General features: G+C 43.9%; 2 protein-coding genes and 1 long non-coding RNA gene across 31 annotated transcripts in view, besides 7 other annotated features; 1 reads left to right on the plus strand and 2 right to left on the minus strand.

The window, feature by feature from the left end:
• Positions 1–2,067: 2,067 nt before the first annotated feature.
• LOC107987097 (uncharacterized) lies at positions 2,068–9,939 on the minus strand. 4 transcript variants are annotated; one of them, XR_007061669.1, is made up of 3 exons: positions 9,284–9,939; positions 3,512–8,523; positions 2,068–3,009 (listed from the first exon to the last, which is right to left on the minus strand). It is a non-coding gene; the product is annotated as an uncharacterized LOC107987097 (long non-coding RNA). The 4 variants fall into 4 exon arrangements; XR_007061670.1 differs by having other exon boundaries at positions 2,068–6,579; XR_001746841.2 differs by having other exon boundaries at positions 2,068–7,948.
• On the minus strand, positions 13,989–24,258 carry FAM120AOS (family with sequence similarity 120 member A opposite strand). Of its 12 annotated transcripts, none has more exons than NR_136231.3 (4): positions 22,804–24,238; positions 21,136–21,256; positions 19,026–19,146; positions 13,989–18,354 (listed from the first exon to the last, which is right to left on the minus strand). NR_136231.3 is itself a non-coding variant. In NM_198841.4 (3 exons), exons 1-3 carry the CDS (start codon positions 23,364–23,366, stop codon positions 18,268–18,270), a joined length of 771 nt encoding a protein of 256 aa, NP_942138.2. In that variant the 5' UTR covers positions 23,367–24,238; the 3' UTR covers positions 13,989–18,267. The 12 variants fall into 12 exon arrangements, 2 of the variants coding, with proteins under 2 accessions (NP_942138.2, NP_001309153.1); NR_136234.3 differs by lacking the exon at positions 22,804–24,238 and adding an exon at positions 21,745–22,265; NR_136238.3 differs by lacking the exon at positions 22,804–24,238 and adding an exon at positions 21,658–22,265.
• Positions 21,822–22,371: an enhancer, noted in NCBI's record as "H3K27ac hESC enhancer chr9:96213447-96213996 (GRCh37/hg19 assembly coordinates)". NCBI's record gives its function as "activates a minimal SCP1, AML or CMV promoter by ChIP-STARR-seq in primed H9 embryonic stem cells {active_cell/tissue: H9 hESC(primed)}" and the evidence as "EXISTENCE:reporter gene assay evidence [ECO:0000049][PMID:30033119]".
• Positions 21,822–22,481: a biological region, named in NCBI's record as "H3K27ac hESC enhancer GRCh37_chr9:96213447-96213996".
• Positions 21,952–22,481: a silencer, noted in NCBI's record as "silent region_20044". NCBI's record gives its function as "represses an Ori minimal core promoter by ATAC-STARR-seq in GM12878 lymphoblastoid cells {active_cell/tissue: GM12878}" and the evidence as "EXISTENCE:reporter gene assay evidence [ECO:0000049][PMID:35858748]".
• Positions 22,342–27,884, plus strand: part of FAM120A (family with sequence similarity 120 member A) — a 114,428-nt gene continuing 108,885 nt past the window's right edge. For all 15 annotated transcript variants that reach the window (NM_001439102.1, XM_011518413.3, NM_001439104.1 and 12 more), the window contains exon 1: positions 22,342–23,046. In NM_001439102.1, the coding sequence (NP_001426031.1) occupies positions 22,573–23,046 (474 nt within the window). In that variant the 5' untranslated portion in view covers positions 22,342–22,572. The remainder of the gene's footprint in view (positions 23,047–27,884) is intronic.
• Positions 22,622–22,751: a silencer, noted in NCBI's record as "silent region_20045". NCBI's record gives its function as "represses an Ori minimal core promoter by ATAC-STARR-seq in GM12878 lymphoblastoid cells {active_cell/tissue: GM12878}" and the evidence as "EXISTENCE:reporter gene assay evidence [ECO:0000049][PMID:35858748]".
• Positions 23,052–23,231: a silencer, noted in NCBI's record as "silent region_20046". NCBI's record gives its function as "represses an Ori minimal core promoter by ATAC-STARR-seq in GM12878 lymphoblastoid cells {active_cell/tissue: GM12878}" and the evidence as "EXISTENCE:reporter gene assay evidence [ECO:0000049][PMID:35858748]".
• Positions 23,951–24,080: an enhancer, noted in NCBI's record as "active region_28621". NCBI's record gives its function as "activates an Ori minimal core promoter by ATAC-STARR-seq in GM12878 lymphoblastoid cells {active_cell/tissue: GM12878}" and the evidence as "EXISTENCE:reporter gene assay evidence [ECO:0000049][PMID:35858748]".
• Positions 24,144–24,438: an enhancer, noted in NCBI's record as "tiled region #4009; HepG2 Activating DNase unmatched - State 1:Tss, and K562 Activating DNase matched - State 1:Tss". NCBI's record gives its function as "activates a minimal TATA promoter and a strong SV40 promoter by Sharpr-MPRA in HepG2 and K562 cells {active_cell/tissue: HepG2 | K562}" and the evidence as "EXISTENCE:reporter gene assay evidence [ECO:0000049][PMID:27701403]".

The following is a 27,884-nucleotide window of genomic DNA, read 5'->3' on the forward strand; positions in this document are numbered from 1 at the left end:
TCTCAGCTACCTGAGAGGCTAAGGTGGGAGGATGGCTTGAGTCCAGGAGTTTGAGGCTACAGTCAGCTATAATCATGCCACTGCACTCTAGCCTGGGCAAGAGTGAGACCCCATCTCAAAAACAAAACTAAAGTAAACTAAACAACAACAACAAAAACCCTCAATCTCAATAAAAATAAGAGCTACCATTTTCGATCCATCAGCTGTGCAAATTTTTGAAAATGAAAACACTTGGCATACGTAGAGCAGAAAACAGGCACACCCGTTCATCGTATTAGGGTGGTGACATGATGCCACCTTTCCTGGGAGGAATCTGGCAATGGGCATCAAAGGACTAAGATAAGAATAGTTAGAGTCTTTGACCTGACAATTCTAATTTGGAAATTTATCCTTAGGGAATGAGTAGACAGAAATATATTGATGCTCAGTGATGTTTGTTACAATGTTATTTATAATAATAACACACTGTAATCTCAGCACTTTGGGAGGCCAAGGAGGGGGAATTGCTTGAGCTCAGGAGTTTGAGACCAGTCTGGGCAACATGGTAGAGCTCCATCTCTACTTAAAAAAAAAAAAAAAAAATTCAACTGGGTGTGGTGGTGCACGCCTGTGGTCCCAGCTACTCTTGAGGCTGAGGTGGGAGGATTGCTTGAGACTGGAAGGCAGAGACTGCAGTGAGCCAGATCACACCACTGTATTCCAGCCTGAGTAACAGAGCAAGACCCTGTCTCAAAAAGCAACAATAATAATAAAACACTGAAAACAAATGGAAACATCCAAAATAATGATTTGGTTCATTCACAGCATATGGTACAGCTCATTCACAAGACAGAATACTATATAGCCACAACACACGCTACAACTAATGTATATTATACTCAAAATGAAAGCATGAGTGCCTTCCCATATCCTGGAATATTTGTTGAAAACATGATTTCATGGCTACTACATATTCTCTCTAGAATTCACACTTATAAACACTCATAGGTTAATACGTATCTCAAAATGTTATTGGTGGTTGCTGCTGAATAGTAGGGCTCAGCATGCTGATTCCCTTTATCATACTTTTCTGGATTTTACAAAATTTTGACAATGAGCTTATATTGCTTTAAAATCAGAAAAATAAGGCAATAATAGACTCAAAACAATTACAAAATCAGAAAAATGAATGACACTAAAGAAATTTAGACTTGGGGAAAGATGCCAAAAAGGATCTGGCATACTCTGTGGACTCCCTCATGTGATCCATGATGAATTCAAAGCACATGGGGATGGGCACATCCAGGGTCGCATAGTCAATCAGGCAACAGCCCAGCCCAGCCTCTGACTCCAGGATCTTGTCAGCGCCTGCCCCTCTCAGAGGTGTCTTTGTGGACACATGTGGTACTCAGTGGTTTGACACATGCAGGCTGATCAAGGAATGCATCTGGTAAACTGCTAGGTTAAGAACCTAACAGATCCTTGGCTGGGCATGGTGGCTCACGCCTGTAATCCCAGTACTTTCGGAGGCCGAGGTGGGCAGATCACCTGAGATCAGGAGATCAAGACCAGCCTGACCAACATGGTGAAACCCCGTCTCTACACAAAACACAAAAAATTAGCCAGGTATGGTGGCACGTGCCTGTAGTCCCAGCTACTTGGGAGGCTAAGGCAGGAGAATTGCTTCAACCCGGGAGGCGGAGGTTACAGTGAGCCAAGACCACGCCATTGCACTCCAGGCTGGGAGACAGAGCAAGACTCTATCTCAAAAAAAAAAAAAAAAAGAACCTAACAGATCCTGTACTTTCTTCTCAAAAGCTTGATGGATATCATGAGGCAAGTGAAGCACTAGAAGCAAAAGTATACTTTACTGACATCTACATACATTATTATTAGACCTGTGATGCTTTTCACACTTGCTGCATTATATATAAGCCTGCTGGTTATTTACATTTAAAAAAATCCCCCACAGTGCCGCACATAGTACTATGGATATAATGATGTCTAATAGAGCCTTTTGCTGTTGCTGTTTTTTGTGCTTGCTTTTGTTGTTGTTTTTTCTAAAAATAAAAACAAAAACAAGAAAACTGTAACTATAATATTTATCATTTTAATTGATGTGTATAGTTTTACAAAATCAAATAGTAATAGAAACAAAATAGCATCCCTTGTGCCTCCCCTCCCTATTGCTCCCTGGTCTTATACAGTCATAAGAAGTCACAAGAAACCACGTACAAATTGTTAAGCCATTTCTTCTGCCATTTACCTTCCAATTCCTAAGGAGTATGCATGTGCTGTTATTTATTTTAGACATTATCTTTTTTCTCCCTGTCTTGACAGATGTTATCTAACTCAAGTGCACTTTGCTCTCCCTCCCCCATTCCCCTGGTGTAAGCATACCACACAGTCTTTGAGTTCACATTATTATTTGTGTCATATAGATACTGTTCACATGAGCCAGGAAGAGTACAACTTTTTTCTTAAATTATCACCTCTCAAAAAATAACTTTGTTGTCTACATACGTGTCTTCCAATGAGCCAGAAGACTCCCTATGTCAGCAAATCCACTGGTGCCATGACTTCCCACTGAGCCCCCTGACTTCCTGTTCTGCACGGGCTTGTCTGCTTCCTGGACCTGCTGCACAACTTGCTCCGAGTCCTATACTGGACATCCTGCTTTTAAATCCCATGCCTTCCATGCCATTGGTTTACAAGTTTATTTCCTGGGGTACTTCCTTCAGGAACGTTCAAGGAGACAGCAAAGAAGGTAAACTTTTGTGTGCTTGCATGTCTCTAACTGTCTTTCAGTTGACTGAAAGTTTGCCAGAATGTAGACTACTAAGGTTGAAAACTATTTCTCTCTGAATAGGGGGATCATTTTTCTTCAGTTTCCTAGAGCTGCTGCTGAAGGTCAGATATCATTCTGGCCTCAGTGTCCTTATGCATGACCTGTCTGCTTCTCTGCAGAGCACCGTCTAACAGACACAGAACAGAAACCGTCTATGTCATCTAAAATTTTCCAGGAGCCACCTTAAAATAAAAAGAAACAACTGGAAGTAGTTGTAATAATATGTTATATTTAGCCCAATGTTTAAAAAATATATTATTTCGGCCAGGCGTGGTGGCTCAGGCCTGTAATCCCAGCACTTTGGGAGGCCGAGGTGGGTAGATCACGAGGTCAGGAGTTCAAGACCAGCCTGACCAATATGGTGAAACTCCGTCTCTACTAAAAATACAAAAATTAGCAGGGCATAGTGGCGCATGCCTGCAGTCCCAGCTACTCAGGAGGCTGAGGCAGGAGAATTGCTTGAACCAGGGAGGTGGAGGTTGCAGTGAGCCAAGATTGCGCTACTGCACTCCAGCCTGGGCCATAGAGTGAGACTCCATCTCAAAAAAAAAAAAATTAATTAAAAAAAATATATATATACAAAATCATTTCAACATGTTTTCAAAATGAAAAATATTAATGAGACATTTTACTCTTTTTTTTTCTACTGAGCCCACCAAAATTCAGTGTCTATTTTACACTTACAGCACATCTCCATTCAGAGTGGCCACATCTCCAGTGCTGAACAGTCAGCCGTGGCTAATGACCACCATATTGAACAGCATTAATTTACAAGCTTTCAGGATTTTCTCTTGATCCCAAATACATGAAAATTTCAGGCCAATATATGTCTAGATGTGGGTCCTCTTCATCGTTATGCTGGGCATCTATTGAGCCCTTTCAATCCAGAGACTCATACACTGCAACTCTGAGAGGTTTTCTTGAAGACAAAGAACAAAAAATAGTGTTAGTAGTACTATTATCAATGCAACTCTTCACATCCTTTTTCTCTGTTCCTCTTTCTGGAACCCTATTCAGTCAGGTATCAGGGCCTTCTGGATTGATTCTCTGAATTAATTGCACTTGCTCTATTATCCTTTTCTATTTTACTTTCTTTTTGTTCTGCTTCCTGGGAAATTTCTTTAATATTACACTCCAATCCTTATTTGATGTTTTTAGTTCAGCTGCCACAATTTTGTTTGAGGATTTTCTTCTCTCTTATATTCTAATACCTGTTCTGTTTCATGAATGTAATGTCTTATTTTATCTGATGATAGTAATAAAAGATTTTAGAAGTTTTATTCTGGCTGGGTGCGGTGTTAATAAAAGATATTAAAAGTTTTATTCTGGCCAGGTGCGGTGGCTCATGCCTGTAATCCTAGTGCTTTGGGATGCTGAGGCAGGTGGATTACTTGAGGTCAGGAGTTTGAGACCAGTCTGGCCAACATGGTGAAACCCCATCTCTACTAAAAATACAAAAATTAGCTGGGCTTGGTGGCGGGTAACTGTAATCCCAGCTACTTGGGAGGCTGAGGCACAAGAATTGCTTGAACCCAGAAGGCAGAGTTTGCAGTGAGCCAAGATCATGCCATTGCACTCCAGCCTGGGCGACACAGTGAGACTTGGTCTCAAATAATAATAATAATAATAATAATAATAATAATTTTAAAATAAAACTTTTATTCTGTTCTCTTCATCACTTCTGTTTCCCCTAACTTCTGTTCTCCTGATATTTGTTCATTTGGGTCCGTGTGTAGTGTAGCAGCCTTTCTTCAAATAACAGGTTATGCTTGGTGCTCTATTCCCATTCCAGAGGGAGAGACTGACAGCTCAGTAGAGCATCTGGGAGGACAGCCCAGGTTTGTCAGTTTGGGACTTCTCTATAGGATATTCAAGAGGCAAGCCAAATTAAAAAAAATTTTTTTTTGGAAGACTCCCAAAACCAGAATTTGAGACATTTTTTCTACAGTCTTTTGAGATTTCCCCAGTAGATAACCTCCGGCCTTTGGGTAGCCAGGAGAGTTAGGGGTAGAACAGAAGCCTGAGAGCAGAAATAACCTACAAACAGTTGAAGAAGAGCAGCAAGGATATTATTGCTTAGTATGCAGATTTAATTTTAACCCACCCTTCCTCCCTTCCTCCTGTCAACCTAAAATAATCAAAAGGCTCAGGCTCCACTTAAAAGAGTTTATTCAAGCGCCAAGTGTTAGGGTAGCAGACACCAAAGAATGGTGATCATCACTCCTCAGTGCGGGGAAAGGTGAAGATCATTCATATAAGCAAAAAACAGGGGTGCTGAACAGAATTACAACATGCTCTTTTTTTTTCGGAGACAAAGTCTTGCTTTGTTGCTCAGGCTGGAGGGCAGTGGCATGATCTTGGCTCACTGCAAACTCCACCTCCCAGGTTCAAGGGATTCTCAAGCCTCAGTCATCCGAGCAGCTGGGATAACAGGCGTGCGCCACCATGCCCGCCTGGCTAATTTTTTGTATTTTTAGTAGACACAGAGTTTTACCCTGTTGGCCAGGCTGGTCTCGAACTTCTGGCCTCAAGTGATCCGCCTACCTTGGCCTCCCAAAGTGCTGGGATTGCAGTTGTGAGCCACGTATCTGGCCAGAATTACAACATTTTTTTCATTTTTTAAATATAAGATATAAAACACACACACACAAGTTGGCTGGCCACCATTGACTATACTCTATGGGAGTTACTTAACATCCATCGTAAAGAGGTAAGGGTCTCTATCTCCAATGTCATTTAGTTGAGGTTTGAATGAAGAATAGGAAGGGTGGTTAATTCATAACATCTCAACACAAAGGTCAGAAGCAAAGGTCATGCACCAGAGAAGAAAAACAGCGTGTATGTGACTCAGTTTCCATGGCTTAACTGTTTCTGCTGGCATAACCAATGTAGAAGCTCCTGAAATTTTCTTTTCTTTCCACGCTCCTTTTCTCTCTTCCTCCTTTCTTTCTTTCTTTTTTTCTGAGACGTTGTTTCGCTCTGTCACCCAGGGTGGAGTGCAGTGGCCCGATCTTGGCTCACTGCAAGCTCTGCCTCCCGGGTTCACGCCGTTCTCCTGCCTCAGCCTCCCGAGTAGCTGGGACTACAGGCGCCCGCGACCACGCCCGGCTAATTTTTTGTGTTTTTAGTAGAGACGGGGTTTCACCGTGTTAGCCAGGATGGTCTCGATCTCCTGACCTCGTGATCCGCCCGCCTCGGCCTCCCAAAGTGCTGGGATTACAGACGTGAGCCACCGCGCCTGGCCTTCTCTCTTCCTCCTTTCTTTCCTTTCTTCTTCCCCACCTCCTTTTCTCTCTCTCTCTCTCTTTAGCGCAAAGCCTCTCCTCTCACCTGTGTCTGGGGTCCAGGTCCGCAGCCTCTACCTTCCATGTCTACAGAAACCTAGTCTCTGGCCTGGGGCAAGAGGAGTGGTGATTTCCTGATTTCTTGTGTTGGGGGAGGGATCCAGGCAGCAGCCTCTCCAGTGCCAGGACCTTGTCTCACTCGGTCTGCAGGACAGCCTCTCTCCAATCGGCTTAATTACCTCTGCTCCACCGTTTCTTCCCTCCAAAAATATCTGTCAAATCCCCTTGTCTGTTGATATTTCCTTTCCTGTTCTCTTTATCATGGAGATGTAATGTATTTTTAAATTCTGTTCCTCTAATTTTAGTGAGGTCTCAAAAGGAAGAAGAGTTGAAAATGGCCACTCTTTCTTCTAGAATGGAAAGTCCTCCATTCCAGACTTGTATACATAGTCTGCTCCTGATTTTTGGCTAGAAAAAGTAATAATTATATTATCCATTATTAAAGCTGTGTCTACATGATTCCAATATAATTTGCAAACAGTCCATGGTTATATTCAGTACTGTTATACGTAAAAATGTTTATTTAGAAATAGAATGCTTGTTCCCCAGTGCCACAAAGAAATAGCACTCGAACATAAATTTAATTCTCTCAGCAAGGCCATTTTTGCTTTCTGCAGAAAGGGTGTTTATGGCAGTTGGAACAATGGCGAGAGCACCCCGGAACAATGGAGCGAAGCAATTTTTATCCCTTACCCAGTTTGTCCCTGCTACTGTGTCCTGTCTCCATTGGCTGGAGCCAGACCTCACAATCTAAACTAAAACCCGATTGGCTAACAGTTTAAAACTTTTTTAAACAGGTAAAGGCAATAGAAAAACAAAGGAAAAAAAATGAAGTTGCTTACGAAAGGACTTAGAAAAGTAATAACATTTCCAAATAAGGAATAAACATTCCCAAATAAGGAAAGGGCATAGGCTGCGAGCTGAGACATGCCTGTGTGCACGTCTAGCACAGATATCTTGGTTAAAGTACGAGGACATAGAATGTACTACGTGTCTGTGAGCATGTCTAGCATAAAGTTAGTCTTTAAAAGAAACTGTTAATTCTAACACTTATGATTTATTCTTTAACAAGAAGGGAAGCTTTGAAGAGGAACTTTTTATTTTCTACAATATACCCAAATCAATACAATATGAAATGTTTTATTTAAGCATATCTAATTAAGAAGTATTTGTACATTACACCTATTTTTGAAAGACAAAATATGAACAATAGTAAGAAAACTAATATGACTGATTATTTTCCTTGTGACTACTAACACAACTGCTAACACAATTTGATTGGTTGATAAGAATCTTTCTGACAAAATTTTTCCAACATTTAAAAAATAAAAATGAAAATTTGGTTGGTAGTCAGCAATTTCTTTCTGGGAAATTTATTGTCTATGTTTAAAAATTATAAACTGAAATTTTTAGCTTTGTCTTATGTAAAATTAAATATTTTTATTTACTTATAAATTTAATATTTATAGTATTTTTACCTAACAATTATTAAGTAATGTTTACATACTTGTCAGGATTCTTCAGGAAATGGAGGGTACACTCTTCTAGGATTTAGAAGAGAATCTCATAAAGGGCCTATTTCCAGCGGTGTAGGCTGGGCTAAAGGAACCAACAGGGGATGTTGAGGGACCCAGCGGCCAGCCAGAGTGGCCTGAGACGGCAAGAGCGGGAAAGCACTGGAGCTGGCATCTTCCTGGGACTCAGTCCTTGACAGGCAGGGAGGGCGTGGAGGTAGAAATAATCTGGCAACTCCCTCTTTTTGCTCCCTGGGCTTCACCTGCTGACGAAATCCAACCAAAAGCAAGAGAAGGACATCAGTGAGCACAGCCTGCGTGGGTCAACCCCTGAGGCTTGCAGCTACAGAAGGACAGAGAAGGAGCAGAGCAGGGGAGGAAAAGCAACAGAACCAGCTGCCTCACAATACAAAACTGTTGGTGTGAGCTTAATTTGGAGAGAATCGAAAAGCTATTTGGTAACCAACCATTGGACTTGGGATAATGGTATCTCCCATTCCAACTGTTCTCTAAGTTTTCCATTCAATATTCTCTTTAGGTTTATAAATTCTGTGTGCCAAGGACTACTTGGTGGTTCTGCTTGCAAAGAACCTATATTTGCACATTTAGGAATTTCTAAACAGAGATGGAAATTAGAGTCTCTTCACAACTGAAGTAAAACAGAAATGTTCATGTTTTCCTTAAACACTTTGTAGTGTTAGCAATTTAATTTAAAATGTAAGTGAAAATCCATTCTCAAATCAATGATAGCCATTTAATTTTGCTGACTTCTTGTGCTTCAGATTTGAAGTTGAATGATCTCTTAGTAAAATCTTAAGTGTTGATTTTCTTTTACAACCTGTGAAAGATGACACTTTCAGCAAAGTCAAGCATGAGAATAAAAATTCATTTTATTATTATTTTTTGTTTGGATTTCATTGAGTTATTTTGGGGTTAATCTTTTGGCCCTCACACATGCAGAACTCCTTCGAGTTCAATGGGTGTTATGTGCATGGAAGAACTTAAGAACTGGGCCTTTGGTTTATTTCTGCAATACTCACTTGAATTGCCTCTGCTTAGTTTTCAAAAGGTGGCTTCCTGGATCTCTATTCATTTGTGCACTGCGCCCTCTCTTTCCCTTTGTAAATTTGGACAATTCATACCCCTACCCTCTCTTTGGTGTCCAGAAGTTCTGGTCTATGAAGCACTGTTGCTTAGCAACAGGTTAACTGGCTCTTCCTCTCTATGGGGGACTACAAAAAAGCCAATCAGAACCTCCACAAACTCTTATTTATTGAGGAATACAGATGCAGTTTCTTATGCTGCATTACTGATGGGCCATATGGTGTAAATTCTATCTTTAAACTGCAGCAAGATAGAAAATGCATGTTTCAAAATCAAATTTTTAAAAATTCACATTGGCATACTTGTTTGGCTTGATTTTTTAAAAATCCATTTACTTAAAAAGATTGCTTTTAATGAAATAAGGTACACATTCCCCCTGAATTAATTAATTAATTAATTTGAGACAGAGTCACTCTGTCGCCCAGGCTGGAGCGCAGTGGTGTGATCTGGGCTCACTGCAACCTCTGCCTCCTTGTCTCAAGCCATCCTCCTACCTTAGCTTCTCAAATAGCTGGGACCACAGGTGCATGCCACCACATCTGGGCAATGTTTTTGTATTTTTGGTAGAGACAGGGTTTCACCATGTTGCCCAGGCTCCTCTGGAACTCCGGAGCTCAAGCGGTCCACCCGTGTTGGCCTCCCGAAGTGTTAGGATTACAGGCATGAGCCATCACGCTTGGCCTCCCCTTGAATTTAAACCAAAAAAAACAAAAACAGACACAAGTGTAAGTTGGTTACAAAATCTTTTCCAAAATATCTTCTCTTACTAAAGTTTCCTTCATGTAAATAGTGTTTGGAATAGAAAGAGGGTGGTGACAAAATAATCTTCCTGTATCTTATATCAAGTTTAAATAGACAGTGGAAGCCAATTTGGGATTCATAAATGCAGTACTATGACACTTAGAGAAATAAAAAACTTTTAGAAAGCATCTTTAGGAAATTCTAAGGTTAAATTCCGTTGAACTGGGGAACAAATAAAGCTAAGGTAAAGTCTGGTATTTTCTCATTCAGTAATAAAGAACCACAACGTGCAGATTCTTCACCTGCCAAGCAAACAGTTCTAAAAACCCCTCTTGGTAGGAAAGGAGATAAAAAATTATATTTAAGAACACCTGGTTGGGCACAGTGGCTCACGCCTGTAATCCCAGCACTTTGGGAGGCCAAAGCAGATTGATCACCTGAGGTCGGGAGTTCGAGACCAGCCTGACCAATGTGGAGAAACCCTGTCTCTACTAAAAATACAAAATGAGCTGGGCATAGTGGCACATACCTGTAATCCCAGCTACTTGGGAGGGTGAGGCAGGAGAATCACTTTAACTCGGGAGGCGGAGTTTGCAGTGAGCTGAGATTGCGCCATTGCATTCCAGCCTGGGCAACAAGAACAAAACTCCGTCTCAAACAAACAAACAAACAAACACCTGATTACCTACAAACAGAAGCAAAACTACTCCTCAAGTTTAAATTTTATAAATTTTTTTAAGTTTTGGGACTTCTTGTGCTGGGCAAGATGGAGTAGGCACAGCACAGTTCAGTTCTCCCACTCATCAAAACTAAGAATTCTTTTTTTTTTTTTTTTTGACAGAGTCTTGGTCTGTCTCTCAGGCTGGAGTGCAGTGGCACAATCTCAGCTCACTGCAACCTCCGCCTCCTGGATTCAAGCGATTCTCCTGCCTCAGCCTCCCGAGTAGCTGGGATTACAGGCATGCACCACCACGCCAGGCTAATTTTTGTATTTTTAGCAGAGATGGGGTTTCACCATGTTGGCCAGGCTGGTCTCGAACTCCTGACCTCAGGTGATCCACCTGCCTCAGCCTCCCAAAGAAAACTAAGAATTCTAGGCCGGGCACAGTGGCTCACACCTGTAATCCCAGCACTTTGGGAGGCTGAGGCAGGCGGATCACGAGGTCAGGAGATGGAGACCAGCCTGGCCAACATGGTGAAACCCCATCTCTACCAAAAATACAAAAATTAGCCAGCCATGGTGGTGCACGCCTGTAGTCCCAGCTACTCAGGAGGCTGAGGCAGGAGAATCGCTTGAACCCAGGAGGCGGAGGCGGAGGCTGCAGTGAGCTGAGATGGCGCCACTGCACTCCAGCCTGGGTGACAGAGCAAGACTCTGTCTCAAAAAAAAAAAAAAAAAAAAAAAAAAAAAAAAGAAAAGAAAAGAAAAGAAAACTAAGAATTCTAAACAAAACAAATGCCAACTCCTTGAGGTCTCTGGAAAGTAAATAATGGCAGGCAAATTGGAAGAAGGAGGGTGACAAAACTTGAAGAAGTCACAAAACAGGCATGTGTTTCCCAGTTTTTTGTACTCCCACCCCTTTCAGCTTTTTTTTTTTTTTTTTTGAGATGGAGTCTCTGTCACCCAGGATGGAGTGCAGTGGCACAATCTCAGCTCACTGCAACCTCCACCTCCCAGGTTCAAGAAATTCTCCTGCCTCAGCCTTCCAAGTAGCTGGGATTATAGGCGCCTGCCACCACACCTGGCTAATTTTTGTATTTTTAGTAGAGACTGGGTTTCACCATGTTGGCCAGGCTCGAACTCTTGACCTCAAGTGATCTGCCCGCCTCAGCTTCCCAAAGTGCTGGGATTACAGGCATAAGCCACCTCGCCCAGCCCCTTTCAGCTTTGATATAAAGGCAGACCCCTCCCCAACCCCCCGTCAAGTGACTTCCCAGTTGACATGTGCAGTAAAAACTCCAAGAAGAGCTCGGTCTTTCTGGCCAAAGGACCAGGAAAAGGAGCCCCTGTGAACCAAAGAATGCAGGGGGATATCCCTGTGTTCTTCCTCTCTCTCTTTCTCTTTCTTTCCCAGCCCTGCTGTGAGGGAGACCCCAGTCATGCTACCATAAAGAGGCAGATGGGCAACAAAACTCCAAGACGTTTCTGTGAGCCAAGCAGTGTGTGTTGATGAATCCTAGAGAAGAGAGAGCTAGAGGAGGGGAATCCCTAAGTCTGGGTATGGGCTGGCACAAGTCCTGGGCTCAGGCCTAAGCCGCACATGCACAGGCAGATACAGAGAAGTGAACAGAGTCTTTGAAACTTGAAGTGGTGCCACCGGGACCACCACCACAGAAGGGGAGACAGTTTGTCATCTGAACTTAACTGAATTGGTTGTCTGCTTACAATCAGTCTTCTCCAGGGATTTTAACAAGTTGCAGACTCTTGGGACTTGGTATTCAAAACATCCAGAATATGATCCAACATTACTAGATGCGCAAGCAACCAGGTAAGTATGACCTATTCACAAGGAAAAAGACAACCAACACATGTCATTCCAAAAATGACTCAGATCTTGGATCATCAGACAACAACTTAAAACAACTTTTATAACTGTGCTCTTAAGATGAAAACAAAGGGCCAGGCGCAGTGGCTCATGTCTGTAATCCCATCACCTTGGGAGGCCAAGGCGGGTGGACCACCTGAGGTTGAGCGTTCGAGACCAGTCTGGCCAACATGGTGAAACCCTGTCTCTACTAAAAATACACAAAAATTAGCCGGGCGTGGTGATGCACATCTGTAATCTCAGCTACTCGGGAGGTTGAGGCAGGAGAATTGCTTGAACCTGGGAGGCGGAGGTTGCAGTGTGCAAAGATCGCAGTCTGGGTGACAGAGTGAGACTCTGCCTAAAAAAAAAGAAAGAAAGAAGTTATTGATGGAGACCCAGAAGCTATGAAAATTAAGAATTCTAGAACTGAAAAAATTATATTTCTGAAGTTAAAAAATGTAATGGATGGACTTACTAGCAGAATGGAAATAACAAAAGAAAGAGTCAGTGAATTGAAGACAGATCAGTAGAAATTAACCAGAGGACACTGAGAAAATGGATTAAACAGAATGAATAGAACTTCAGGATCCTGGGAGACAACACCAGAAAATCACGTATTTTTTGACACTAGAGTCTCAGAGGGAAAAGAGAAATTGGTGCAGACACAAAAAAAGTTTTTAGAAATAACTGCTGAAAACTTCTTAAATTTGACAAACAATATAAATACACATTCAAGAAACTCAGCAAAATCCAAAGAAGATGCTCAGCATATCATAATCGAACTGCTGAAAACCAAAGATTGAAAGAATCCTGAAAGTAGCCAGAAAAAAACCCAACACATTCGGTATAGGGAAGAACAATTTGAAATACGGGTTATCTCAGACATATAATAAAAAATCATGTAGGCCAGGATGCAGTGGAACAATACCTTTAAAGCACTCATAGGAAAGAATCATCCATCCAAAATTCTATACCCAGTGCCAATATTCTTCAGGAATATGGACTTCCTGAAGAATCCTAAAATATGTCCACAAATTAATTGGAGATCCTCTCTTCAGAAGCTGGGGCCTAATTCCCCTCCCCTTGAGTGTGAGCCAGAATTAGGACTGACTTTTAATGAATAGACTATATCAGAAGTGACATTTCATGATTCTGAAATTTTAGTTATTATGGTGAACACCAGTCCCCTGACAACATGGTTCAAATTTGAGTTACCAGAATATATTAACTGTAATTGCATGAAGTTCAAACTTTCTGCTAGCTCCCCAGTCCACAAATCACTACATAATAACACAGGTACATCATGATCAGTGACCAATCATGCCTCTTCTTTCCAAAACCTACGGGTGATTGGTCACTGTGCATCTGTGTTCATTTCACGCACAGACAGCAAAGTGTGAATTGTGTGGCCTCCTTGTCTTCCAGTGATAAACCCACATGGCATTTTTACACAAATGGATATTCAAAAGAGAAAACTGACAAATAAAGATAGAAATGCAGCAAAGAAACTCAAACTGAAAACACTGAACGTGAATGCAAATCAAACATAAATGGGGTCACTGAAGAAACAGACTATGGGGATGCTGGCACTGCTGCCGAGAAGGTGAATTCCTCAAATAAATGAAGAAAGCGGTTGTGATGAAAAGGATGAAGATGTTCCAGAGGAAGGAACGTCAGCAAAAACCTTCACGTTAAAGGGACTTGGAGATATTTCATGACATTGAAAGCAAAAAGGATAAAATATTGGAAGCTGATCCAAACTTAGAAGGGGCATGACAAGTTTTTGAACACAGAAAAGGTGCTCCCTCTATATCATAAGGTACATGACTTTTGAAGAAGGCAAGCACTGTTTAAATGTCTGTTGATGGTTTTTTTAGGAAGACATCAAGCACTTTAATTCCCTGTGTTGCTAATGTTTTAAATTACAGTGTACAAAAATATTTACTTTATTGTTTCCTTATACATTTCTAACAGTACAAGATTATCAATGTTTTGACAATTTTCAAAAGACAGGAAAAAAATCACAATTTTACCCATTAATGATTATGAACAGCACATGGCAGTTTCAGGTTGGAAGGTCATTTTTACAGTTCTGAACTGCTGTGCAGTGAGGACTGTCTGTTTTATGTTGGGAGACTCTGTGTTCTGCTAAAATTCCCTGAAGAATGTTTCTTTTTTTTCTGTTTTGTCAGGCAATCAGCCTCGTTAGCCTTAGTCTGCAGGTCCTGCGTTGCCTTCTGTTTGGTGGTGGTGGTCCGAGTGTCAGTTCAGAGTGTGGCTGTGTTGCCTGGGCTCTGTCTCTTGTATGTGCAGCTCTGGGCTGAGCACGGAATTCAGCTCATGTACAGAATTAGAGAATCCTCTTTTCAGGTCTTTGCTCTTCAGGATTTCCCCCCAGACTCCCTGGCACCCAGGGGGCCCCTTTTCCTCATCCTCTGGCTTAGAAAGATGGGCTTTCTCTCTGATGATTACCTGCCTACACTGCCTGCTCATTTTGCCAAAAGGAACGCCCCTCAGGCAGAAAGCAGAGAGAGAAAAAAAGATGGATTATTTCCACATTCTTCAGACCATAGGGTCATTTTTTCCTGCTCCTCTGGCTGGAAAGACAGGTTTTCTCTCAGGGGAATTTTTTTGTTTGTTTTTGTTTTTGTTTTTTGAGACGGAGTTTTGCTCTTGCTGTCCAGGCTGGAGTGCAATGGCGCGATCTCGGCTCACTGCAACCTCCACCTCCCAGGTTCAAGCGATTCTCCTGCCTCAGCCTCCCGAGTAGCTGGAATTATAGGCATGCACCACCACGCCCAGCTAATTTTGTGTTTTTAGTAGAGACAGGGTTTCTCCATGTTGGTCAGGCTGGTCTTGAACTCCTGACTTCAGGTGATCCACCCGTCTTGGCCTCCCAAAGTGCTGGGATGACAGGCGTGAGCCACCGTGTCCAGCCTGACTAGGGTCATCTTTAGGTCAGGACTGAGAGAGAAAAAGTTTAAAAAAGGAAAAAAGCAAGGGATTATAGCCACACTTTCTAGCTTGCCGGGCCCCCATTTACCAGAATGTTTTAAGAAAGTTCCAGACTGTTTTCCCATCAGCTGTGTATGAGGGTTCCAGTTCTTCCACATCCTTCTCAGCAAACAAGTTAACCATATTTGGCACAGGATTTCTAGACCTGTAGGTTACGGAAATGTCACAGTATGTTTTGAGGCCAGTAAGGAGTTCTGCTTTTTTTTTTTTTTCCTGAGACGGAGTTTCGCTCTTGTTGCCCAGGCTGGAGTGCAATGGTGCGATCTCGGCTCACCGCAACCTCCGCCTCCCAGGTTCAAGGGATTCTTCTGCCTCAGCCTCCCTAGTAGCTGGGATTACAGGCATGTGCCACCACGCCTAGCTGATTTTGTATTTTTAGTAGAGACAGGGTTTCTCCATGTTTGTCAGGCTGGTCTTGAACTCCCGACCTCAGGTGATCCACCCGCCTCGGCCTCCCAAAGTGCTGGGATTACAGGAATGAGCCACTGCACCCGGCCAGTTCTGCATTTCTTAAGAGAATCTTTGTGAGAAGATGTAGATATTGGCTTCATAATAATAAAGTGAATTTGTGGTATTAAATAAATGGAAAAAAAGACAAACGGTACAAATTAAAAGTTCTTGAGATGTTTGGGCTGACCATGAAGGGATCCATTATCTGAAGAGTGGCTTAAGATTTAGAAGGCATAGCTCTACAGTCTCTTTGTCTTCTAAGGGCAGGGCATCTTCTATCTTCTAGGACAGGGTACAGTAAGTCTTACCAAACATGTAAGACATGTTATTTGGGGATATTCAGCATTCCTTTTCCCTTCCTAAAGGTACTCAGGTTTCTTTCTCAGAAATTGTATATATTCATCCCTGAAAGGTCTGAGAAAAAATAAAAAAAAATTGTGTATAGTTTTGGTGAGATCGTCAATCCAGGAACCTGTTTCCCCATATTAAAGTCAAAGGAACTATACTGTTTTCACTGCCAGGCTGGGGACTCTTAGTACCTAAGTTTGGTCCATTCTACTCTTTTTCATGACTTTGAATCTTGAGCAAATGACTACAGTAAGAGTGGGGTTCATTCATGTCATCAACAGCATCCCAGCTGTATTGTTAAAAGTACCTGTCATTCTTAGTTCCCACCCAGTCTTAATCCTGGTTCTCCAACTTTCATAAAAATCGTTGTTTTTTTTTTTTTTTTTTTTTTTTGAGACAAGGCCTCACTCTGTTGCCCAGGCTGGAGTGCAAGTGGTGTAATCTGGGCTCACTCCAACCTCCACCACCTTGGCTCAAGTAGTCTTCCCACCTCAGCCTCCTGAGAAGATGGGACTACAGGTGCACACCTCACCTGGCTAATTTTTGGATTTTTTGTAGACAATGGGTTTCATCATGTTGCCTCAAGAAAAATAACATCATGGTAATACTAAGTCTTTTATCAGTGACATGTAACTGATTTTAAAATATTATATAGTGCTTCCTAGTTTAACCAAACTGGAGGCATGTTTTATATGATGGGCTGATGTCTCATGAATAACTGTGCCAAAATCCTCACTTCTGAGTGCACTGATGCAGTAGATGGATGTCTCAGATCCCTCAGCTCCCAGATTGGGCCAACTCTCCTTATACCACCACACCTGGGACCTGGGAGGAATGGGGAAGGGGACTTTATAGGGCAGAGCTTTCCCAGACTCTTGTTCCACCCTAAGGATAAAGTATTACAGTAACTTTCTTCCTGCCTTCCAGAGGCACTTTCATTCTTCCTGGAGCTCTCGTCAACCCTGACCTCTTCCTTTGTCAGCAAGGTCAAACGCCTGAGCCACAAGTCTTAGCTGTTTCCAGAAGGGTGATTGTGTGCTCCCACCTATATCTGAGGTCCTAGACTCCTCAGAGGAAGTCAGCTTCATGTGATCTAGGTTACTCAAGCCTGGGGCTAGTGTTTTCATATTCTGGTATGAGAGACTTGCTTCCTCTGGAAAGATCTTTATGGTTTACACAAATGTAACAGACCACTTAACAATAGCTAGTCTCTAAAATGTACATCTTAAAATGGCTTTATACTTACGGGAATTCCTAATTAAAAAAAAAACTCACTTGATTTATATCACATTGTAAAATATAGTTTACTTCAAAAGATGATCCTGAAGATCCCATCACAGAGTGTTTAAGGGATGATTATAAACTTTTAGCCCTTAAGAGAGAATATATATACTCAACTGAGTACTGTCTTTCAAAGCAGTCCCTGTCAGTTTGTCCATTGATTCCATAGCAGCTCTCACTGCCCACCCTGCTTGAGAAGCCTCTTGGAGTTGCCTAGAGAGTCTATAGCACTCATCTGAAGGCCCTCCATGAGAACAACTCTTCTCTTCCACATAGATATTTTTGCATCAGCCCAAAGCTATTTGGACACAAGTTTGGTGAACACGGTAAGAAAAAAACAAACCAAGCAACAAAAACAAAAAGCAGGCAGTGCTGTGTTAGACTGAAAGTAAAAGATAAAAACTCTAAGAACCTATGAAGCGCCAGGGCAGTGCTGGTTGCTTTCACCCATATGGTCTCCTTTGGTGTTCTGCTGGTGCTTATGAAGCAGTATCCCTACTGACAATGACCCTAGCTTAAGAGGGCTGAGAACTGCTGAAAGTGAAGCTGTTTATAAATGGTACAGTCAGGACCGACAGACACATGGGTGTGGTATGACTGCAAAGTACCTGTGGAATTCAGATGGGATTACCATCCCCACTATAAAGGGCAATATGATCTGTTGCAGGAGGGTTTATAGGGTACTTAGTTACACAGGTCACACTGATCCCCTTTTCCTCTTTTTTTCTATGCAAGTATCTATTTGTCTATATGTCTGTCTACCTTGGTAGGTTGGGCTCCTTGAAGAAGGGTTATGTTTTCTTCATCTCCATATCCCCAGTAGCTGGCCAATGCCCAGTATACACCAGGGGCTCAGTCGCTGTTTGTCTTATTTTCTTGTTGACTCTACTCTGACTTAGGACATATCACTTTCCTCTCTTGACCTTCACATTCAGATGTGTTAATAAAAGTGGATAAAGACCACTCTAGCTTTAAAACACCCTCCAATATAGAGAGAACTCTGAAACCAGAAGCAGAAGCTGAGGAATGGTGAATAGAGCATTTTCCCTCACACGATGGGTATCAGGGTGGTTTCTTGTCCTTTCAATGCCTCTGCAGAACTTGACCCTAGTTTTTCAAATTGGACTCAAGAATGATCTTAGTGTTGGTGGTTTTGTGGTTTTCTTTGAGACTTTGTTATTGACAGAACAGCTTCTGGAAATCTGAAAAGAAAAAAAAAAAGGTAGTTTATATATTAGTTTGGAATATGAAATGTATTTTGTCATGGTCTCCAGAGTCCGAATATTGATCTCTGTGGAGCTCTCCTACCCTCTGCTACTGCTGATAACTCATAGTACTGGAGAGATAGCAGAGCCTGAAGACCAAAAAACTCAACTGCCGATACACGGCTGCAGTGTGGTCAGTTACTGATCTACCATTTATGAAGCAGGCCTACAGATGTGTGTGTTCTTCTGGGTAATTTAAATTGACAATTAATTAACAGGGCTGGTGCTAGGTAAACATTATAGGTTAGAATCCCTAGTGTGGATTAATTTGCTCTCTTCCATGATCGCAGACTCCCTGCTTAGCTCCAGTCTGCTGGTCTCCCAACATCTGCTAATGATTACATGGGCAGCATTAAGGTCTCTTATTACCTTGTTTGAAAAACTGGAAACTCATCTGTTATTGTTGGTGGTTAGATACCTCACCTAAGTAAAATATTAATTAATGATATTAGGCTGGGCGCGGTAGCTCATGCCTGTAATCCCTGCACTTTGGGAGGCAGAGGCAAGTGGATCACTTGAAGTCAGGAGTTCGAGACTGGCCTGGCCAACATGGTGAAACCCCGTCTCTACTAAAAATACAAAACTTAGCCAGGTGTGATGGTGTGTACCTGTAATCCCAGCTACTCCAGAGGCTGAGGCAGGAGATCACTTGAACCTGGGAGAGGGAGGTTGCAGTGAGCTGAGAACACATCATTGTACTCCAGCCTGGGCAACAGAGCAAGACTCCATCTTGGGGGAGAAAAAATAAATAAAATAAATACAAAATAAAAAAAGAAAAAGTCCCCAACCATTAGTTGTCATATTGTAACCTCCAAGAAGACATAACTTTTTATTAAATTTTAAATACAGATGTTTATTTTTTATTTTTTATTTTTAAGATGGAGTCTCGCTCTGTTGCCCAGGCTAGAATGCAGTGGCGTGATCTCGGCTCACTGCAAGCTCCGCCTCCTGGGTTCACGCCATTCTCCTGCCTCAGCCTCCTGAGTAGCTGGGACTATAGGCGCCTGCCACCACGCCCGGCTAATTTTTTTTTGTATTTTTTTTAGTAGAGACGGAGTTTCACCGTGTTAGCCAGGATGGTCTGGATTTCCTGACCTTGTGATCCGCCCACCTCAGCCTCCCAAAGTGCTGGGATTACAGGCGTGAGCCACTGCGCCCGGCCCAGATGTTTATTTTTACCTCAATATTTAAGCAATTTAACTTCAACCAACCCCTGAATTTGAGTTAAGGATGCAGAGTATATAAGTGTTTGTCAGCTAAACATTTTGCCCACCATCAATAGCTACTCAATAAATAAAGTTTTTTTTTTTTTTTTTTAAAGAACACAAAGCTAAATAGGGCAACTAAGAATTGAGTTTTATGTGTTATGATACAATAATGAATTTTAAACTTTCCAAAAGTACAATAACTGGTCTATGTTCTCGAGTATAAGTCTAGACAAATACAGTTTCTGGAAATAACTACAAAAGCCAACATTTATTGAGCATTTGTTGTGTGGCAGGCACACAGGTTATCTGATTTAATCCTTATAACAACCTGGGAGGTTAAGTACTATTAATATGTTGATTTTACAGATGATAAAATCCAAGGTTCAATAAGGTAAATATTTTTGCAAGGGCACAGACTTATCATAAGATGGATATTGGGGGCCTGACTCCAGAACCTTAGACCTCTACAATATAATAAGGTGAAAATAAATTTATTTCCAGAATTCCAGATACTGGCACTGGCATTTTTTTTTTTTTTTTTTTTTGAGATGGAGCCTCGCTCTGTTGCCAGTCTGGAGTGCAGTGGCGTGATCACTGCAACCTCCACCTCCCAGGTTCAAGCAATTCTCCTGCCTCAGCCTCCCGAGTAGCTGGGACTACAGGTGCGCACCACCACGCTCGGCTAATTTTTGTGTTTTTAGTAGAGATGGGGTTTTACCATGTTGGCTAGGATGGTCTCCATCTCTTGACCTCGTGATCTGCCCGCCTCGGCCTCCCAACGTGCTGGGATTACAGGCGTGAGCCACCACGCCCGGCCGCACTAATGCATTTTTAAAAATTAAAAGCAAGAGTGTTTAAAGAAAAGGTAAATACACGGAATGCAATGCTACAAATGAAAATACGAGTGATTAAAAACTACTACTCCTCACCTTGTGAACCTGCCTTGGGTTATAAAAGCAAATTTGGATATTTCTGGATTTTGCTCGTTATTTAATGGCTAACTGTATTATTTCTTTTATTTATTTATTTATTTTTGAGACGGAATCTCGCTTTTTGCCCAGGCTAGAGAGTGCAGTGGTGCCATCTCCGCTGACTGCAACCTCCGCCTCCCGGGTTCAACCAATTCTCCTGCCTCAGCCTCCCAAGTAGCTGGGATTACAGGCGCACACACCACCAGGCCCGCCTAATTTTTGCATTTTTAGTAGAGACGGGGTTTCACCATGTTGGCCAGGCTGGTCTCGAACTCCTGATCTCAAATGATTCACCCGCCTCGGCCTCCCAAAATGCTGGGATTACAGGCGTGAGCCACCGCACCTGGCCTGTATTATTTTTAGATAACATGTCATCCTGGCTTTGTGACTAATTTTATGCATAGGTGAGTGGCATAACTTGTCAGCCTGCTTTTAAATGTAACTTCCTAAAATACCAGCAGCATTTAATTTATGTACGTATGATACTGGCTTGCATTTGAGGTGGGTATCAGAAAAGAAAGCAGAAAAATCCAACTTGCCTTTTTCACCGGGAGTATGGGGGCTTCTTTGGCCAAACCGTGCGCGTGCAGGCTCCATGTGCTGGGCAGCAGCTGTCCGGCCACAGCCTGTCGGTTGCATCCTGCTCCTCTACAGAGGTTTCTCCAAAAAAAGAACAAATGGAGAGATGAAGGTAAGTAAAAGCGGCACTTTAAAACTTTTAGAGTGCTGGGTTTCTAAATTTATATTCTGAAAGACATTAATCTCTTTTTGAAAATGTTTTATGCAAGCCTAATATACATACAGTATCAACCTCATTTTAGAAGCAGTTACGACAGAGCTTTGGAACAGAATTTACGTAAACGACCTCCTTCCAGAAGATGCTACTAAAGCAACAAGATTCAAATCCCTCTCCCTCAGAAGAGCTGGGAGATCCACTGCAAAGGCGCACGTTTCAGTCTAGCCATTGCGCAGTGGTAACGCAGGCTTTCCCACGCTGCAACAGACCTGTGCTCTCAAGACAGTCTCTTCCGTGACGAGCAGGCGCTTAGGGCTACCTGTACCTTCAGACATTATGGTGTGTTTGGCCATGTCATTTGTCATAGGTGTAAAAACCACAACCGAGAGCCCGAAGCTGCTGGGATGAGCACCTGCCGCGGAACTGCATTCTCGCGCTCCTTCCTGCTCTTTCCAAGAAGCCAGGCGCGGCCGGCCAGCATCCCGCTCTCCCGGACCCCGCAGTCAGTGTGGGCAGCAGGCCCAGAGTGGTGCGAGCCGACGGCGGCGTTAGAAAGGCGGCGTCCCGACGAACAGAGTGACTCGGCCTCGGCTCCCCTTCAAAGCGCCATCTTATCGCTGCTTCCCTCAGGAGCAGGCGAGCTCTTCCCCAGGACCTGCTTCGCGGCTTCCCTTCGCCCGAGAACCACCGGGCGGAGGCGGCGGCCTCTCTGGCCCTGCCGGGAACAGGGCGCAGGGGAGGGGAGCGGCGGCCGACCGGCCTGAGGCGGGCGAACGGCCTCTGGCCTCCAGGCGCTGCCTGCTCCGGCTCAGAAGCCTCCCGGATCCCGTCCCGGCCCAACTCCGGGCCTCCGCCTCCGCCGCCGCCTCCGGGAGCCCCGAGCCGCGTCCCGCCGGCGCCGCCTCTTCCGCCTGCTAGCCGGCGGGCCTGGGCGGCGTCCGCGCCGGGCGGGTCCGCTACGTCAGCGCCGCCCGCCCGCCCCGCCCCGGCCCTCAGCCTCGGCCTCGGCCTCGGCCTCGCAGCGGCGGCAGCGGCGGCGGCGGCAGGTCCCTCCCCAGACATGGCCCTGGGAGGCGGCAGCACATGGCGGCCGCGGCGGCCATGAGCGCGCCCCCGACCCGCCCCAGTCCCCCCTAGAGGCCGCCGCCCCCGCCCGCCAGCCCGCCCGCGCGCCACGGCCCCACCACCCCCGGCCCCGCCGCCCCCCGCCCGCACCCGCGCCCGCGCCCCCGCCGCCGCCATGGGCGTGCAGGGCTTCCAGGACTACATCGAGAAGCACTGCCCGAGCGCCGTGGTGCCGGTGGAGCTGCAGAAGCTGGCCCGGGGCAGCCTGGTGGGCGGCGGGCGGCAGCGGCCCCCGCAGACCCCGCTGCGCCTGCTGGTGGACGCCGACAACTGCCTGCACCGCCTCTACGGCGGCTTCTACACCGACTGGGTCAGCGGCGGCCAGTGGAACCACATGCTTGGCTACCTGGCGGCGCTGGCCAAGGCCTGCTTCGGCGGCAACATCGAGCTCTTCGTCTTCTTCAACGGCGCGCTCGAGAAGGCCCGGCTGCACGAGTGGGTCAAGCGGCAGGGCAACGAGCGCCAGACGGCACAGCAGATCGTCAGCCATGTCCAGAACAAGGGCACCCCGCCGCCAAAGGTCTGGTTCCTGCCGCCCGTCTGCATGGCCCACTGCATCCGCCTGGCGCTCATCCGCTTCCACGTCAAGGTGAGGCCGGGGATCCGGGCGGGCCGGGGACCGGGGCCGCGCCGCACCCCTATCCCCCTTCCCAGGGCGCAGAATGTCGCCCGGCCGTGGCGGCGCTGGGGGCAGCGAGTTCCCCCAGCCCTTGCCCGGGATAGCCTGGCCGGGCCGGGCTGCAAGATGGATGGCCGCGGGTGCAGGCCGCGCGCTGCCCAAGCCCGTCTCCAGCTGTCCCTGTTCGGGGTCCGCGGCCGCGTGGGGACACTTGAGGGCTGGGAGAGAGCCCCGGACCAGAATTCGGAGGCGACAGTGTCATCATCCCCAATATCCTTAGTTTTTCCCATCCTATTTGAGGCGGGCAGGCTATCACTCACCTTCAACTTTGACAAAATACTCCCTTTTCTAATTTAGCCTGTTCTTTCCCAGCAACAGGTTCATCTTGGAAGCAGGCAGGATACAGAGTAATAGAGGGGGTTTCGCCAGAGCCCTTGGGGGCTGCAAATATCAGTGCTGCTGCCGCCGCCCTTGCCAATGTTGTTAGCCCGGTGACAGCGAGACGTGTCTAAGGGCCAGTGCCCTGGCCTCTACTTCAGAACGCAGTGCCCTGTCCGTGTTCCTCTTAGTACAGGGTGTTTAGAGAATCTTTCTATGGCTTTTTGTGTTAGATTTCAAAGACCCGTGCACTTTGACAGGATGGGATTTTGTCAGTTCTGTGACTTCACGTCCGTGTGAAAGAGGTCTTTAAGGCAGTTCGGTTTTGTAGATCCCATGCGAAAGGAGTCGCTCAAAATCAGGGGGCGAACTACGCGGGCGTGAACTCGCAGGATTTATTTTTCGGGTGCACAGTAAGTATTCAGTGACCTTCAGCGGTGCCCTGACGGGTGGGTAATCAGAGCTCTATATCACCGGCCTCCTCTGGCCCTTTGGCAGAGGGCTTCGCAGCTGGCACTGGGCCAGAGGAGAACTTCAGGACCCAGCAGTGACTGTGAAGATAAGCACATCCATGATCCTGGACTTCACGTTCTGATTGCTTGCTTTTTTCATTGGTTTTCTTGAAAACAAATTTTGGGGGCCTTTTTGTTGTCTTAGCTCTTGACACTCGGTCTTCCATCTTGTCATTTGACATTTCCTTGAAACTGCTGGAGCTGAAAGTTTGTGAAATTCTGTCTTCGCGGTTGCCCCCACTGCCCGCGAGGAGATGGTGGTAGTTAAGCCTAAAATGATAGCGGAAGTCCCACCCACGATCCGGTTGCAATTGGTGAGATGGTGTTTAAGTCGTGGGTGGAGGCGGCCGGCAGAGTCCCGATTGGCCCCTGCGCCTGGCAGACACACAGCTGCCATTCCTCAGGGAAGTTCGGGTGAGAGGAAGTGCCTGCCTTTTAATTTCTGAATCGGAGCCTGGGGCGCTCAGGGAAGTAAGGTGCTGCCATTTGTCTGAAGCGATCCATCTCCCTAATAGAGCGTAAAAGTGTTCATAGTTTAGTCTTGTTCAGAGATGGAAAAGACTACTTAAAAGACAGGATGAGCTGCACTGACTTGCCTTTGGTAACCGCACAGCTCTCTACTTAACTAGTCAAGCGACTTTCAAGGGAACACTGTGAATATTACTTAGGATTAGAATCAGTATGTATGCATATGGTCACTGTATCTTTAAAGAACTGTTGAGTTCTTTTTAATTCTACAGTTTCTTTATCTTTGCACCCCTTTGAATGCCTCGCACACCTAGTAGGTGCTCAGAATTCAGACCAATGTGTCAGTGTTAGGAAACTAGATTTAAGCTCCATTTAAGATCGTCTTTTTCACTTAGGTTTCTGGACACGGGATAATGGGATAATTTTGTCTGTATTTTGCTTTTGCTAAGCTTTTAATTATTGACCTAGGGTCATATTATAGTGCGAATTGCACAAAATGAATATTGTAATAACTCAATTACTTGGTGGTCTCTTAGCTGGCAACCTTACCTTTTTGAAAAGTGCCTAAGAGATTTAGCTACTAGAAATTTCTCAGCAACCAAGCAAGATGTCAGGAAGTTTGGGTACAGTGATGTGGGGGGTTGGCGGGTGTAGGGGGGTGCTTTTGCTTTCCTCACTGAAGAATCCTTTAAGCTCTCTCACTCATGGACTGGCCTCTTTTCATATGTAATTCTAACAAGCTTGGTTATCTATTTTCTAAACTCAGCTTGAGAAGAGGATGAAGAGGAGAGTCTGCCAGAGGCAGGAGCACCATTAATAGCAAGAAGTGACAAGAGAGATTTAAAAAGCTATAAAAAGCAAACATAATTCTGGGGCTATTTTAAGAAAAGGAAAACAACCCTATGTACTTCCTTGGTCCCTGAGGGTAGTACAATGTTTATTCTATAAGGATGATTTTGAGTCATAAAAATTAATATTCAGCATTCTCTGTTTAAGGGATTGAAACAGTGTATACCATTTAATAAAAGATACCCATAAAGTGGTTAAAACGTTTAAAACCATGATATCACTACATGCCTATTAGAATGGCTAAAAGAGAAAAAAATATGAGCAATACCAAGTGCTAGCAAGAATGCTGAGCAACTGGATCCTTACACATTGCTTGTGGGAATGCAGAATGGCACCACCACTCCAGAAAACAGTGGCACTTTCTTATAAAGTTAAACATACATTTATCATACGATCCAGCAATTCCACTCCTGGGTATTTTCCTAATGAAGACTTTTGTTTGTGCAAAAACTGGTACTCAAATGTCCATAGCAGCTTAATTCATAATAGCCCAAACGTGGAAACAAAGTATCCTTTAATAAGTGAATGGTTAAACTACAGTATAGCCATACTATGGAATACTACTTAGCAATAATAAGGAAGGAATTGCTGGTGTAGGTAACAACTTGCATGAATATTTAATTAAGGTTTTATACTGAGTGAAAGAAGCCAGGTTCAAAAGGGATGATTATAAAACTATAGTGATAGGGACCAATTCAGTGGTGCTGAGAGTAGAGGAGGGGAAGGATGTACACATAAAGGGGACAGCAGGAGAGATCTTTGTGGAGTGATGGAACTGTTCTGTATTCTGATGGTGGTGATGCTACCATACATTAAAATCAGAACTATTCATCCAAAGTAAATGTGTTAATTTTATCATATGATAATTTTTTTAAGATTAAGTAAAAACCACTGGCAAAGGAATTGACATGAACAATTCAGTATATATAATGTTGAGTAAATGAGACATTTATAAAAACTTTAAGCATCTTATTGGTGCTTTCTAGTGTTTTGTAAATTGGCAGAGGGGCATAATTTCCTGTTACCTTTGCTTAGAGAAATCTTTTTTTTTTTTGAGATGGAGTCTCACTCTGTCTCTCAGGCTGGAGTGCAGTGGCGCGATCTCGGCTCACTGCAACCTCCACCTCCTGGGTTCAAGCGATTCTCCTACCTCAGCCTCCCTAGTAGCTGGGATTATAGGCGCCTGCCATCATGCCTGGCTAATCTTTGTATTTTTAGTAGAGGCGGGGTTTCACCATCTTGGCCAGGCTGGTCTTGAGCTCCTGACCTCGTGATCCACCTGCCTCGGCCTCCCAAAGTGCTGGGATTACGGGCGTGAGCCACTGCGCCTGGCCAGGAGAAATCTTTTTTGATTTAGAGATTATTTCTTTTACAGAGTAGTAATTGTATTTTTTTGTTCAGTAGTAGTAATTGTATTTCTTTAACCATTAGAAGTTGGTCTACATGGAAAGACAGCCAGAACAATGAAAATAATAATACTTTGGCCTATGTATTGACTAGTTTTGTGTAGGTCCTAAAATAGCCTAATTTGAACTTGGCTTTAGCTAGTTACTTGGACAGTGTTTCTTCTTGTGTGCCTTGGGTCATTATAACCTTTGAAACTTCAGTGAATGACTTATGTTTATTTTAAAATCTTAGTGGCATGAAGTCACTGGAGCTTTCATAAATGTTTCTGCTATATGACTTGTGGTATCAGTGTAAGGGTTTATAATAAAGTCCTTCAGATCTTCTGAATTTGCTTCCATTGGAATTTTGTTAAATAATGCTCTTACATAAAATGGCGTTCATGCTATAAGTCAGTGGAAGAATGTGAGGTTAGACTATGGTTTAGAATTTTCATGGTTAGCATAATTACATGTTTGTATTTAGAGATGATGGTCTCCCTTCATGTATACTTGATGGGGGAAGAGAATGAACTGGTATCAGACCAGGTGCTTGCTAGATCCTTTCTCACATATTCCATCTCATTTAATCCTCAGAGTGCTTTGTTACCCCATTTTTCATGTGTAAAAACAGGATCTAGTGATTAAGTGACATCTGGGGACAAGTCATTAGTAACCTCAAGACGGAAGTGGAGTGCTAAAGTCAAAGTTCAGCTTCTTTGTGTAAGAATACTTTGTGGGTGTGCCTACCTACAATTCTCACCCCCAGGTCAATTACGATAGCTAACTGCTTCAGCTATGTTTTCTAGTTAGGATAGGAACAGTCATGTTGCTATTCAGAAGAAAAATGTCCATCAGTAGATCCTGGACACTGACAGTACATCTTATTCTTAAGGACCTTTAATTGACTGGAAGATTTTTAAGGTTCAAAACTGACCATATTATACCTCAAACTAGTCACTGTATATATTTCTCTGTTGTACTACTTTTGTCACTAGTTTAATTCACATAGCATAATGTCTTCAAGCTTCTTTCATGTTGTAGATTGTGTCAGAATTTCCTTAACTTTTAAGGCTAAGTAATACTCCACTGTGTATATGTACCACATTTTGTTTATCCATTCATCCACTGGTGGATACTTGGGTTGCTTCCACTTTTTGACTATTGGGAATAATGAATAATGCTTCTATGAGCATAGTATACAAAGAGCTGTTCGAGT

Source organism: Homo sapiens, chromosome 9 (genome assembly GCF_000001405.40).
Source record: "Homo sapiens chromosome 9, GRCh38.p14 Primary Assembly".
Classification (NCBI taxonomy): domain Eukaryota; kingdom Metazoa; phylum Chordata; class Mammalia; order Primates; family Hominidae; genus Homo; species Homo sapiens.